At 35.2% G+C, this 16,324-nt stretch overlaps 1 protein-coding gene across 14 annotated transcripts in view; it reads right to left on the bottom strand.

Moving 5' to 3' along the window:
* The window catches only part of STXBP5L (syntaxin binding protein 5L), a 516,557-nt gene that overhangs the window by 190,948 nt on the left and 309,285 nt on the right, over positions 1-16,324 (bottom strand). For 13 of the 14 annotated variants that reach the window (XR_924217.3, XR_001740373.2, NM_014980.3 and 10 more), the window contains 2 exons: positions 10,657-10,811; positions 126-198 (listed from right to left, as the gene is read on the bottom strand). Coding sequence is in view for 11 of the 14 variants with exons in the window: in NM_014980.3 (NP_055795.1) it covers positions 126-198; positions 10,657-10,811 (228 nt within the window). In the remaining 3 variants the exon portion in view is untranslated. Of the gene's footprint in view, positions 1-125; positions 199-10,442; positions 10,571-10,656; positions 10,812-16,324 lie in introns of all 14 variants that reach the window. The other variant, NR_145516.2, reaches the window with a different exon arrangement.

The following is a 16,324-nucleotide window of genomic DNA, read 5'->3' as shown; positions in this document are numbered from 1 at the left end:
TGCATTTCTGTAATTCTAGCAAACCAATATTCACACAAAGAATACTTCCTATCAAAAGAATACAAATGCCAATAATCTAAAATAAATAGAGTTTAAAAGTGTTAATCTGTACATGGATAACTTACTTGCTTTGTGTCAGATCAACTACAATGAGATCTTTCTCCAGAAGTACCACGACAGCATAGGGTTCTTGAAATTCTACAAGTAAAAATAAAAAATGAAAAGTTTTCATATTGTATATACTATAAAATCAGCAAAATTGCATTTCCTTTATCCCTATACAAATATTATTTAAATGATGTGAGAAGACCAAACTATAAGCCAAAGTAAGAAGTAACAAAGAGCACTTAAAAAAAGTTGTGCTTCTCAAATTTAATATTAAGATCACTAGAAAGAACAAGAAAAAAATTAAAAGTAGCATAGTATAAATATATCTCAATAATCATGGAGTGATGATAATATTGGATTATGTGAAGACAGTGAATCTGTCACCTGATCTCACAAACATTTATCTTATTCTTCCATAACCTTTGTATTTTAGATCTGATTTTATGCCTACAAGGAGATGTACTGAGGGAATAGTATCTCTGCTTCTCTGGGATATGACATACATTCACATCTGTATAAGAGCAACACTGCTTATAATAAAAAGTTTACTTTCAATTCAATGTAATTTGAAATATATTTATAGGTTGTGTAACCATATCATATCAATCTGGTTCAACTTTTACATAACAAAGCTCTTCAGTTGCCATGGACTCCCAGATTGAAGGCCACGTAACCTGAACATGCCAAGATAAACAAAGCATGCAACCACAGGTAGAACCTAAGTGCCCAGAACAAGGAACAGGGACTAAAATTAAGAAGCATACATTGCATGGTAGGCTGCAGGATCCGATCAGATAGAGCCCTGGTATCACACCAGGGAAGGATCCAGTCAGAGCATACCTCCTGGCATCATCCTATGGCAAGATCCAATCAGATCATGACTTATTACGCGCTGACTATAAAACCTTCCTCAATCCCCAGCTTGGGGAGACAGATTTGACATCTGTCTCCTTGCCAGTTCACTCATGATAAACCTTTCTTGCTGCAAAAACCTGCTGCTTCAGTGTTTGGCTTTCCATTGTGCATGGGCAAATGGACCCAGTTTAGTTCAATAACAAAGTTGGTGACCCAAATCGGACTTCTCTAAATCCTTTCAGGACAGTTTTGACTGTGGCTCACCAGCTCCATATCAGGGATGGGATCCACTTGAGGGTCTGAGCAGCTGTCCAGGTGTTTTACTCAGTGATTTACTCTTGGTTCCTGTCTCCCCAGCATGGCCCTGCTGACTTTTGGTGCTTTTACTTTCATTTTTGCAGCAAAAAGAAGTTTTGAATTTTGGAACACATTTTTTTTCCTCTTTTTTATTTTTATTTTGTGGTGAATTAATCTCTGTACAAGTGACCAACTCTCAGCTCCTTTCTTATCAACTTCCACTAGGGAGCCTTGTCAACCTCCACAAGGGGGCTTTGTTAGGGGATTTCAACTTTGATTGAAAGAAGAATAAGGGGGTATGTTCACGTGGCACTCGATTATAAATTTGACTAGGAACTTGACTGGGAACTTGGAACTTGGATGTGTATATGTATATGTGTCAAGTTTAGGGTTTGTCTAGTCACTTGTTTATGTTGTTAAGACCACTCAGCAAACCCTGAAGGAGCTGCCAGTGGCAGCCAAGGAGGCCTGACTCAGGGTCGCTGTCTGTTCCAGTCAACTAGACTGAGTAAATTATTTGCTTGATTATTGGCTGGAGGTCAACCTTCCCCATCCAGAATGGACTAAAGATGTCTGAAGCTTGCAGGGACAAGTTTGAGCCTTGTCTGTTTGCTCCCTTTGAGTGGATCAAACTCAGAGTCCAAAATGCTGTGGTTTGTCTTGTTTGATTGGCTTTTTCTGTTTCTGTTTGTATTCTGATATGAGCAGTAATATTTGGCTTAAGCAGCAGTTAATATTTTGATGGCACAGAAACAGCCTAATTAGAAAATTATTTAATAGAGGGACTACATTGCTCCCTCCAGCCCTTTTAGGTACTCCTAGGAGACTAGAGGATACCCAACCCATTGGGTGATTCACTGGGAAGGAATCTCCATAAGTACCACATTGCAGACCCAAAATATATATATCTCTTTCTAGTGCAGGGCCTTGCTCTAGCCATCTGAGATAAACTTCCAAGCAAAATGGGGAATGTTAATTGTAGCAGGACTCCAGCAGCACAAGCCATAAAGGTACAACAGTGGCCAAAGAAAATGCTTCTTCCTTTCTTGTGGTCCTTAAAGCCTTCAGGCAATACACTGACATTAACCCCGAACATCCAGGTAACCTGAGAGTTTTATCAGTCACAGTGCCCCTGGCATAAGAGGAAAACTACAAAAAGTAGAAAAGGTGTTGGGAATATCAATATCTCCAGTAGTCGAGATTGCTTTTAAGGCATTTAATCATCTTATTCAAGTCCAGGAAGGGCAAAAGCAATGCGACATGAGACAACAAGCTATGCTGCTTGCTGTGGCTCTTGGCCACCACCAGTCGAGGCACAAGATGGAGCATGCTAGGAAAAACAAATGGCCATGGGTAAGACCCTTAGGGACCCCACTGCTGGCCAAAATGGCCGTACACTCTTGAGGCCACAATGTGCATATTATAAACAAGAGGACCATTGGAAATGGGAGTGCCCTAATCATCCTGGCAGGTAGAGAAAGAAGCTGCCCATTAATCAGCCCACCAGATACCAGTTTCTGATAGTGATTAAAAATAATGGGACTGGGGATCCTCTATGATCTAGGAACCTTAGGTAATCTAATGTAGAAAAGAGACTTATTGGCTTTCTAATTGATTCTAGAGCTAACCTTCTTCAACTAGCTCCTCTCTTCCTGCCGGTCCGCCCGACTACTTTGCTACTCTGGTTTCTCTAAAATTCAGTAAGGGGCTTCAGCCACGTGGAACAGAAAAATTTAAACTAAAATTGTTAGTTTAACAGTGACGAAGTTTGAATCTAACTATCCCTTTTAACTAGTGAGTTATGCCTGACATATGGCTAAAGCTTTATTTAAAGCTTGATCATTATTTGTATCTGGCTGCATGTACAAGTCTGGTTGTATTTGTCTATGGTACCAAATTGGCTTATAAATAGATGAGTATTCATAAATTAAGCAAATAAGACCAGGAACTTTTCAAATTCATGTTTGACTTAGAAATCTTTTGGCAAATGGGACTAGTCTAAGATTGTTGATTTGATGGGAATGCCTGTGTCCTCTGAATTATTTGACTTTAAGGTCATTACTTTTATAATATTTGCCCGATATAGACAAATACAACCAGACTTGTATCTGGCTGCATGTACAAGTCTGGTTGTATTTGTCTATGGTACCAAATTGGCTTATAAATAGATGAGTACTCATAAATTAAGCAAATAAGACCAGGCACTTTTCAAGTTCACATTTGACTTAGAAATCTTTTGGCAAATGGGACTAGTCTAAGGTTGTTGATTTGATGGGAATGCCTGTGTCCTCTGAATTATTTGACTTTAAGGTCATTACTTTTATAATATTTGCCTGATATGCAGTTGTATAAAATAAGTAATAGATAAATAATTTGGAATGATGACTAGTTTGTCTATTATCTCAGTTTTCATAAGTAATCTCAGCACACTGCTAAAATAAATAAATAAAGGTAAATGGGATAAATAGCTATAAATTTTTATGTAATTTGAAATCCTAAATTAAATAATAGATGACTCATTAAATGTACAAGTCATTTTCAAATACGATAAAAACTGAAACAAACTGCTGAACATAAATAGGGTTGTCCTTGGCTTCTTAAATTTAATAGAAAGACTAGAAATACTAAGAGAAAGACTAAATATGCATAAAAATATGTTATAGGGAAACACGTTTTTCTGACAATTATAAAATGGCTCTTGGCCAAGCATGGTGACTCAAGCCTATACTCTCAGCACTTTGGGAAGCTAAGGTGGGAGGATTGTTTGAGGCCAGAAGTTTGAGACCACCCTGGGTAACAAGGCAAGACATCTCTACAAAAAAATAAAATAATTAGCCAGGTATGGTGACATACACTTGGAGTTTCAGCTACTTGGGGGGCTGAGGTGAGAGGATTGCTTGAGCCCAGGAGTTTGAGGCTGCAGTGAGCCATGATCATGCCACTGCACTCTAGCCTGGGCAAAAGGGCAAGACCCTGTCTCTAAAAAGTAAAAAAATGAAAAATAATAAAAATAAAATGGTTGTTATCTGTTAAATAATGATATGTAACAGGCAAATCAAGATTTTGTGTTTCCTATGTTTTTAATAAAATTTAAGGTTACCAGAAGCTAAAAATTCCAATTGATATATAATTCTGTATATAAAGTATGCCAAAGTAAGGTGTGTTTAATAAGAGAAAAAAATGTCTTTTATTGAGAAAAAATAACTTTTTCTAATTCAAAGGTTATCTAAAGGGAGTGTCAAAATGTGGATTTAGGAAGGAAATAGAAACAAGATAGAAAGGAACTGTAAATAGTAGAGACAGAAAGAGATGTAAGGAGAGTTATAGATGTAAAGATAAGAGAATAATTTTGCATGAGATAGTCTTGCATGGTAAATCTTTTTCCTAGAGCGATATAACTGGTTACTTAAGAAGAAAGAGGAAGTATAGAGTGAGGCAGGGTGTCTCAGTAATCCATAGATGGTCTGAGTAAATCATGATAAGGTTCATGAATGGGAACTTATGAAGGAAATTCTGGGTGTGATTAAGCTGGCTATAATTAAAAGAAATTATTTGTGACAGTCTTTCTAAAGAATAAACTTTGATGTTAAAATACACTGATACAAAGTTTAAAAATCTGGTCACCTATGTTAAAACAACAAAGGTTTCCTTTCTTTTCTTTTCTTCTTTTCTTTTCTGAGACGGAGTCTCACTCTATCGCCCAGGTTGGAGTGCAGTGGCATGATCTCGGCTCACTGGAACTTCCACCTTTCAGGTTCAAGCGATTCTTCTGCCTCAGCCTCCCGAGTAGCTGGGATTACAGATGTGTGCCACCTCACCCAGCTGATTTTTGTATTTTTAGTAGAGACGGGGGTTTCACCATGTTGGCCAGGCTGGTCTTGAACTCCTGACCTCAGGCCATCCACTGCCTCAGCCTCCCAAAGTGTTGGGATTACAGGCATGAGCCACTGCACCCAGCCAACAAAGGTTCAATTGCTTTTAGTAAGATTGCAAGAGGTTTTGATTTTTAATTCTGAAATGTGTTTAACAACCATCCTCTGAATTACAAACAAATTTCTATTTCTGTCACATTTCTTCCTGAGAACTACCTAGTTTCTCTGGTTTTACTTTTATCCTGAAGGTCCAGAAAAGCAATGTTTTACTCGGTATAACTTGATTGAGTACTCTTGGCTTTTCTTTATGTGTCTGAATTATTTTATGTAACCAGAACTTCATATGCTCTTGCTAAGAACCACATATTCCTTGCTCAAGGAATATATGAGCCTAGGAAACACAGATTCTGTGTTTTACCAAGGAAACTTCCTGTACTTCATGCTGTCCTTGTTGGGTTTTGACTACTTCAGAAAACTGAACTTTACAAGGGTTAAGGTTTTTACATCCATGTAACTTTCTGTATTGCTTTTGAAATCTTCTGATTTTTACTCTTACTTTGGTTGAATAAGTAACTATTATTTAGCAGTGAACACCATTCTATTAAAGAAAGTAGTTTTTGAAATTTTTAACATCTTTGGCAGGTCTCTCCAGGACCCAAATCTTAAGTTAAGCCTTTTGGCCTAAAATTAATTTTACAATTTTCCACATAGGCCCCCTGAAGAGCCTCAAAGGGTTTATCTCTCATCTTGTACAGATATTAAATGATTAGGTTTATTTGGTAAATAATACAGGAAGTGCTGTCAAATTATGAATGGTGTTTAACTTCCCTTAAGTTATATTTGTGGCTTTATTAAAAAGTGTAAAATTGTATAAAATTCTGATATGCCAAGATATGTGCCATAATAATGATTATTATGTTAAATGATTGTATGCCACCAAAATATCTAAATTGCCTTGTCAATTGGAAATTCTCATCATATCTTTGGCTATGATTGTTCTGGGTTTTTGTCATCCACAGTTATTGTTTTAAATTCTCTAGAAGTATTTGCAATGGGCTATAGTCCAAAATTGCTAATCAAAATAAAGAAAAAAAAATTTTTTGAAACAGTCTTACTCTGTTCCCCAGGCTGGAGTACAGTGGTGCAATCATAGATCGCTGCAGCTTCCATCTCCTGGGCTCAAGCTTGATCCTCCTACCTCAGCCTCTGGAGTAGCTAAGACTACAGGCGTGTACCACTACACCCAGATAATTTTTTTGACTTTTAGTAGAGACAGATCTTGCTATGTTGTGCAGGCTGGTCTTGAAATCCTGAGCTCAAGCTATTCTCCCACACAGCCTCCCAAAGTGCTGGGATTACAGGTGTGAGCCACTGCACCTGGCCAACCAAACAGAATTATTTAAATGAAATTAAGTAATTGATAAGGATAATGTTTTTGTTGCTTAAATGTTTTGTTTTCCAAATTCAAGGAAATTTTCTGACATAAGCTATCTATAGCTTGCAATATTTTGGTAAAGTATCCTCTATTGAACAAAGGTGGAAGCATTTGCTTTTTCTCCCTACTTGATTCCTTAAAATTCAGAAGCTATAAATGAATATTCTTATTTTTATTTATATAAGTTAAATAAAAATCTTATCTCTCTTGAAAGCAGGATACAATTGGGAACATTGGTTATATTACCAAGGTATGAACTGAAATGTTATATGTAAAAATGTGCCTAAAATGCTTGTCTTCAAGAGTTCCTAGTTTTACAGTGAGTAAGTAAAAACTATCACTTCCTGGTAGGCCCAAGAACCTTAAGACTATAAGTAAAATCTAATGCCTGACTTGGTCTGGCCATCTAGCTTCAAGAGGTTCTAATAGCTGAGATTTCTTATATGATCAATGTGGAGAGGAAAAGTTATGCTTCTAAGAAAAGCAAAATTGTATCTGTTATTAGATTGTAACATTGTGCATTGCCCTAAAGTCCTTGTTATTTGGCTATAGACTGGACTAGATTCTGAATTCTCCTAAGATCCTCTAACATTTGGTTATAACTAAATCCTGATGGAGTCCCCTAGCCCTCTTTCCCCAGTCCAGACTAGGGATGCTCTCGGGACATTCAGGGGATTTCCCCTTTTAAAATCTAACCAACTAGGTGAATTAAAATATCAGAATTGGACACAAACCGTACCCATAGGATACTATAGTCTCCTTGTCTCAAAGAAGTTGATGTTGTCTCTTCTTTTGTAAAAGCCACAATGAAAATAGTAACGGGGCCCCCCTCACTGTCTGTATTCCACACTCTAATGGGGCTCTCCTCAATTCACATCACAAAGAGTCTAGCAAACTATGCAGTTCTTTTTCTATCCTCACCTCCCCTTACCATGACCCAATATAACTTGCTTAATTCTGCCACTTTACTTATCTTTCCTGATGTCAGGTCTGTCCAACAGGCAGAACTGCATGCTCTTACTAGACATGTCTTTTAGCCAAAGGTAAAACAGCCAATTATTTATACAGATGGCAAGCATGCCTTGGGATAGCTCACAACCTTAGTATCTGTGTGAAATATATCCACAATACCATATTGGAAAACCATTTCGTGGCTTCATGGACCACTTCACATTACCAAAAAGTCCCTTTGAGGCACGGCAACAATATTTTTTTCAGCTCCCTGTCTCTCAAGGATATCAGTATGTACTAGTTACAGTTTACATGTTTTAGCATTGCATTGAAGCCTTCTATTGTCAACAGGCCATAGCCATGGCAGTAGCTAAGGCCCTGTTGGAAAATTTATACCAACCTGAGAAGTCTCTCAAGGGCTTCATAATGCACGAGGAACTCATTTTACAGGGCAAATTATTGAAAACATTTGTATAATTTGGCCTATTTATCAACATCTCCATTGTGCTTACCACCTCTAGTCCTCTGGACTGGTGAAACAGACCAAGGGAATAATAAAAGCCCAATTGGCAAAGATTTGTGGTGTGGCATTTAGCCTGCCATGGCCCAAGGCCCTTTCTTTAGTCCTCCTTAACCCTGGCATGCTTTCAATGTTCCTTTGTAGAGTTCTAAATTCATCTAGGTGGTCAGGGTAGCCAACACATTTGTGGTAGTCTCTAATCTTTACTGATCCCCTTCCAATTAGGACTCCTCATTGGCAGTCATTTCTGCTTGTCCCATTGGCCTCCGTACAGCTCCTGGGAAAGAATTTTGTACAAATCTGCCAGGTCCATATTTCCTTCTCCCAAAAAGGGTGAAATAATATTAGTGTTATCTCACCAGGAGATCTGGCCTCAGAAATGGCTTTTACCCTAATTCTCATCTCTCGAGTTGGCCTCACTAACAGTGCTCACCCTCCTCTCCACGAGCTACCAATTGTGCCCCGAGAGTCCTGGGGCACAATCCAACACCAATGATAATCCCAGAGATTACAGCTGGGGATGTACTCAAGGATGTGATTTACATGGAGAATAATCCTCTAATGAAGGAGCTAGATTAGGAAAGTTTCTGGGGTCCTGGTTTGGACTAGGTTCTGCTTGAGGTGGATATATGGTCAGAAACCTTTCCGGCACTGTCAATAGAGTTAAAGTACATCTCCTAGCTTTTGACAAGTGAAAAGTTCCATCCTCATTACCACATTGCTAAAAAACAAAGATTTTTATATATGGCTTGAAAGTGAATAGGAATGGTTACATTGCATTTATGCTTCATTGAACCTTATTAGAAATTGTCCTAACATCTCTACCAACGTGCAGAAATTTATATACACACAGACCACACATTCTCAATTTCTATTGCTCACACATCTTCTTCCTCAAGGCTTTTCATAGGAGGCATTTTCCTAAGCTCAGCTGTTGGTCTTCTGTTCTCTCTTCCTACATTCTTTCATTATTCATTTTTGTAACTCCAAAAAACACTTATATTCTGATGATTCATAAATATTGTAAGACAGTTTCTCTCTTCTTCTGTTCCCTAAACAACTCTACTCTCTCATAATCAGACTTACCTTTCTCTCTTTCCAAAAACTGCTATTACTATGCATGAAACCACGACTATTTAACTTAAAAATTAATACATTATTTATACTCTGAACCATACAACTCAGCACTTAATTAAGGTCTTTCATTACTTAAACTTAACAAGTCATAATAATCTCACTCATCTGACCAGATTTTATGCAATTTGACATCAGAGATTAGTTTAATACTTTATCTGTATGCTCAACAAGTTCTTGTAGTACTGGGGCCATAGAATGATTCAATAATTATTTGACAATTAAAAACATAAGTAAATTGTCTGTCCTAGTAACTTTGGAAATAAAGTGCTACATTGATTATTATTTAATATCAATTTATCCCATCTTTTAAATGTGAGACTAAATAATTTAAAGTAAGTTAATACATATAATAGTGGAACTCACAACATATATATTTTTATAGTTTAAGAAGTATGCTCACTTAACCTTCCAGTAGTCATGTGGAGACCATATTACTATTCTCTTTCTACAAACGATAAATAAAACTAATAAATGTAAAGTGACTTGCCCAAGGTCACCTAGCTAGTAAGTGGCAGAGCTAAATCATAACCTCACATATTCTGTCCCCAAGTCCAGTGCTCTTTCTCTTATATCTGCATATTCTGTCTTAAAAATATAGTAATGTATACACACATACTATGTTGTTGTAACATGACTCATATTTCCTTTTTTATGTTTTCACTTTTCTCACTTTTTAGATTTATTTATTTATTTATCTATTTATTTGTTTGAGATGGAATCTCATTATGTTGCCCAGGCCAGTCTTGAACTCCTGGACTCAAACGATCTGCCTGCCTTGGCCTCTCAAAGTGCTGGGATTACAGGCATGAGTCACCACACCTGGCCACATTATTAAAATATTTCATCATTATTAGATTTCATTATACAGATTGCATATAAGTTTAGACTAGTTGTTATGTTTACAAAAAGTCTTTATATTCAGTATAATAAAAATATATAAGCATTTCTCCTCCCAAAGTCCCTTCTGACTATTCTCAAAATTTTAAAAAGTCATTAACCACACATCTGCATTACTAGAGTAATCAGAGGTGCTGCAGTTGCATCTGAAGCAAAGCCAGATGTGAAACAGATGCAGCACCACCACAGTTACAGATTACTGATATCAGGTAAGTGCTTTAACTTTGATTGGCTTTGGGATGGAATTGATGGAGCTGGTCTGAGAGAGGCTATTAAGAGACCTCAGCTTCCCCAAGTGATTTCACCCTGGACCCTTATCAGACCCTCCCAGCTCAGCTTCCACCATCTAATCAAAGTTTAAAGCACTTACCTGATATTAGAACCTGAAATGCCAGCATTGCTGTACTACATCTGTGTTATTTCCAGTTTCTCAAGTAGGTACAGTTGCAGAACCTGTTCCAGCACTTGTAGCTCACAGCGTTATACCACAGTAGACATCTGAAAATATTTAACCTTAATTTTGTTAGAAACTTGTCATTTCCAAAATGATTTTCAACATTAATAGTTTCATTTTAGTTACTTACCATTTGGATAGGGCGTTTCACATAAAGTTAGAAATTCAACAATAGGATGATCCATTTCAAGTACTGTAATTGCTTTTCCATGCATGATGGTTAAACTTGGTCTTCTACAAGCTTTGTCATAGGACAGCCCACCAGAGAATATTATGAATGGTTCGCTACATAGGAAAAAACATGAATGAGACTCAGAAGTCCTTTAAAATGACACAAAGTCACAGGACTGAACCTATAAAGAACAGGTTTTGTTGCATACCATATAACATGACAGACAGCAAAAAACTTGCCCGGCTCAAAATTTCTCATTCAATAACCTACTATTCTACCATTTCCCACTTTCTAGATGTACATTCTCACATTAAATTTACTAATGGACCAGTCTAAACATATTGGGGTAGGTTTGGGGAAAGGCAGTGAGCTTGGAGGAAGGTAGATGTGCTCACTGACTCTCAAAAGGACATCTTCACGTACTTTACTTGGTTCCCAAACTCTAAATCACTATCATTGGAATATTAGTCTATGTCAGAATATCAGATTAATTAGCTGGCCTATGGGGCCTAAAATCTGTACAAGAGAAAAGAGACAAATTTTAATATAAAATGAAATGTGACAGTGGAAAGCTCAGAATGGCAGAGGGTAAAATAAGAATTCTAGATAATGGAGTTTCTGTGAAAAAAGAGTAAAGATAAAAAGATGGAGAAAGCTAATATGTAAGAGAAGGATAGCTAATCAAAGATAAATTGCCTTTTCTATTTTACTTGTGGCCAGTCTATAGATCAGTATAAACTCCATATATCTTGCTCAACTAACTTTAAACAAGATTTTTGGTCTGTTGCTTTATAAGATATAATTAGATAATAGAGTGGGGTTAAGATTCCTCTAAAACATTATAGCTATCTGAAAATTATGAAGTCATTTCACAGTTTTTCATTTTTCATTTCTCAAATCAATACTTACATATCTCTAGTGTATGTGTACAAAAGAAAAAGTGTGTTAGCAAAAAATATTTTCAAGAAGTAAGAAGTAAATACCAAATTGAAAATATTCTTTTCTAATTTTTTTAAAGACCTAGAGGCTTTTATTGTATCAAATTATTTGAGAATATAATGCTCATCTACATAATTCACTTACATCCTATTTGCTAAGCTGAAGAATCTACTTGTTTCTAGAAATCGCTCTGTAAGATTTCCTTTTCTCTTCCGTTTTGTACTGTGTGTGGCGCCAAACATTATCAGTGGGACATTTACTAATCTTATGCTGGCTATATAACCAAAAAGGGTTTTTTTTTTAACAAAGCTTCTATACAAACATACATATAAAATGTGTGTATTATTTTCTATTTATAATTCTATCAGTATTCTGACATAAATATTTGAGTTATAAGCAAAATAAACAAAAATACTCTAACTTATTTTACTTCAGTTGATTTGAGTAATAGTCTTGCACCAGTGATTTGATATGGTAAATGACCAACCTACTAATGGTGCCATTAAAAAGCACATTTGTTATTTCTATAAAATGTATATTTATATTATTAATAAGATTTATCCAGATTTAAAAAGCATTTCTAATATAGTTATTTATGAAATAGTGTGGGGGTTTTTACCTTTGTTTTTTGCTCTGTTTTGCAAAAAAAGGCCACGACTTAAGAGAATGTAGTATCTTTTCATAATATTAATAATAATATTAAGCTTAACTACCTACTATTAATATTAATAAAGGCCATACGTATCTATTTTTTTCCTGTGTAAAAGTAGGTGAATTTACTCTCATCCCCTAATACTAATCCAAGCATAGGATAAGGAGCAATTTACCCCCCCTGCTTTTTTGTATATACATTGGAAATATGTCCTCTCTAATATTGAAAGGAAGTAAAACCTCTTCTGCTCTAATTACGACTCTGCATCAGAATACTCTGGGTCTGAAGTTAGTTGTTAATATATATGCATTTCTCTATAAACTACTGAGTGACTGAATAAAAAGTTATTTCCTCAGGAAAGTGCTCAGGGAACCACTCATGGTTAACTGTACTAAATATTTAATTATCATCTTTAATCCTCATAAGCAATGTCCTCATTTTATTAATGAGGTTAAATAACAGCTAAGAAGCAACAACCAAAAGAAAATTGAGATCTACCAGACTCCAAAGCCTATGATTCTAAACACTCCTATATATTGCCTCTAGTAATAAATAGCTACCATTTACTGAGTGCTTACCATGTGGCATATATTGTGCTATGTGTATATATAAAGTAAATTTTGTGTAATCCTCACAACAACCTTGATGAAGAAAGTACTATTAGTCCCATTTTATACATGAATAATCTGGGATTAATGCAGATTAAACTTGTCCAGGGTCAAGCAGCTAGTGAGTACCAGGACAAAGATTCAAACCCAGACTCAAAAGCCCACATTTTTCATTTTTAGTTTAATGTTTCCCAAACTGTGGAATACAACTTGGTAGTTGTCGAGCAGAAAAAAATTAATTTTGATAATTTGATAATTTGCACTTGCAAAACCATATCTCCTTTCAGGAATTTTGCATTTCATAGCATATGTTAAAAATTCTGAGAAATCATATGGCAAGCAATCCAATTTACTTTTATAGAATTCAAAATTTCTCACATTTATTAGATTACAGATCCTTTTTATTGCATGAATATCATTAGTGATTAAAGGAACACAGTTGTTTGATAATGCTGTACCACACTAAATGTTGTACCAGCCTAAACTGTGTCAGGTGTTATTTAATACAAAGATTCTATTAAGGGATACCTATCAGATGGATTCTTATAAAAGAAATAAATGACCATATACTTGAAATGTCCTCATACTTAAAGAAAGCATTAATAAAAAATAACAAATTATGGATACATAACTTGGATGAATCTCAAAGGCATTCTGCTGAGTGAAAGAAGCTAGGCTTAAAAGGTTACATAATATATAACCACTTATATGTAACAGTCTCCAAAAGGCAAAACTATAGTGATGGAGAACAAATCAGTGGTTGCCAAGGGTTAGGAGTTGGGGAGAGGAGTGACTATAAAGGGACAGAAAGTGAGAGTTGTGGGAAATGATGGAAATATTCTTTATTTTTATTGTGGTGATAGTTTTAGAAATCATACATGTGTTTAAAACATGAAACTGTACACCAAAAGAAAAATAGTTAATTTTACTGTATGTATAATTTGTAAAATACATACAGAAAACAGCATTAAAAGTTTGTTCCAATGAAGGCAACAAGATTAAACAAGTTGTGTAACATAATAAATATTAAATGCTAACATATATTGAGTATTTATGATATTCTAGGCATCGCATGCAGAATTTTACATGCATTCTTTTATTTAATCCTTATAACATCCCAATGAGATAACTACTATTATTATCTCCATTTAACAGATGGGTATATTGAGGCTTGGAGAACTTAATTATACATAAAGCCTATCAGTAGGCTGCCGTAATAGGAACAGATTAAAAGATTAGCAGAAAATAATTTTCTTTAGCTTAAGAGCACCTAATAATTCTAGTGGTAGTCAGTATATAAATCAATATTCCTATCTTGAAGAGGATAAAATTATTAAGCCTAGAGGCCATCTTAGTTGGAGTGTCAGTAAGCAAATTGGTGATTGGGGATAAATGATTCCCATATACATAGCTGTTTATCTCTGGAAATGTAAAGCAAGTCTGCGATTGGCTGGTCTGACATAAAACCGAGAAGAAAACACATCCCTTACATGTGCTACCTATGCAGTCCAGTAAGAGACCCTACTGCTGCAGCTTATATGGTAGAGCTCTTCCTAAGGTTCCTGTTTCTGTGACAGCCATCCTGACTTATAACTGTACAGTTTCTGCCGTGTAATAGTTGGAGCAGGGATATAGCTATATAATTCCACTTCCTAACTGTGGCCCATTTTGCTGTGGCAATAAATTTTAGTATTCTTAACCTCACTGCCCCTCTGCTTTTTAACCTCCTTGTGTGCTAAGCTCCAGAGGTAATAAAGTAGTAATCACAAAAAACAGAAGCAATGTACTAATGTACACAAGTAGGTGGGATGACAGTAATTATCATCAATAATATGATTGTTTCACATTACAAATATGAAGATTAATTTACACATAGTTGTATTATTGACTAGCAAAAAATTAAGAATACTTGAATAATTTTAACTACATGAAATAATGATGTCAATAATAATAGTAACTACTAAGAAACCCACTATGTGTCTTCATCAAACTGACGACATTACAGGCTGTATCCATTATTTCATTTAATTCTCATGAATATCATAGTGAGACAGGTATTGTTGATAAGGAAACTAAACTTTAAGAGAGTTAATTAAACTTTGCAAGGTCACACAACTGTCTTACTTCAAAGCCAATGATTTTAATTATTACTTTACACTGCCTTAACTTGAGTTTTTGATTTCTAAAAATATGTTCTCTTCACTTTCATCTCTTCCTCCCTTTGCTTGGCAACATCTGATCATCCTTAAAGTCCCATCTCAGGCATCTCCTTGCCAAAGAATTTTCCTGATTTCTCTCTTCATGGTTCTCCTCCCTACTCCCTTCAAGGCTGGGTTAGGTGCTCTTTTTGTGTGCTCCCATAGCATATCTCTATAAAAGTAACTTCCATGTTGTATGGAAATCACTAGTTTATGTCCTTGCCTCTACTGCTAGAATATAACAAATTCAAAAGCAAGCAGTAATCTTATTTCAGAACATCAAACAAATCGCATTTGTTTAGTAATATAGTAATAACTACTAAATAATACTATATACTATATATTATATAGTATATTATACTAGCATATATAGTATATTATATATAAGCTAGTAGTATATAGTAATATATATACTATATTATACTATGTATAGTATATAGTAATATATATACTATATTATACTATGTATAGTATATAGTAATATATATACTATATTATACTATGTATAGTATATAGTAATATATATACTATATCATACTATATATAGTATAGTATATTATTACTATATATTACATTACATTATACTACATATTATATTATACTATATAGTATATTATATATTATACTATATATTATATTATATACTGTATATAGTGTATATATATTATATATAGTATATTATATAGTATATTATACTATAGTATATATATTATACTATATATTATATAGTAATAGCTACTAAACTATAGTAGTAACTACTAAATGTTGTTTTAACTGAATTAAGCTGAATACTGTTGAGAATCCAACAGAAATACAAATTGTAAAGACCTCCAAGCAATAAAATAGACGTCATAAAGTCCAGGCATGTATACATTGTCATGGAAGAACCTCTCAGGCATTATATGGATCTATTTGCTCTCATTTTACAAGTTTGGCTTTCAAGTTTCTTAGTCTACAGAAAATCAAAGATTGGATACTAGTAGATAACACAATAAAGATTATAAGAAATCCTCATGGCTCAAAACTGAAGGAAAGAGAAAAGATTTTTAAAAATATATGAAAGTGAAGCGGAATCTGGGCTAGCAAGATGGCCAAATAGGAACAGCTCTGGTCTGCAGCTCCCAGCGACATCAACACAGAAGGAAGTGATTTCTGCATTTCCAATGGAGGTACCCAGCTCATGGAACTGGGAATGATTAGACAGTGGGTGCAGACCACGGAGGGTGAGC

The sequence above is a fragment of the Homo sapiens genome, chromosome 3 (assembly GCF_000001405.40).
Source record: "Homo sapiens chromosome 3, GRCh38.p14 Primary Assembly".
Lineage (NCBI taxonomy): Eukaryota > Metazoa > Chordata > Mammalia > Primates > Hominidae > Homo > Homo sapiens.
The sequence above is the reverse complement of the archived record's forward strand: the minus strand, read 5'-3'. Positions and strand labels throughout refer to the sequence as shown.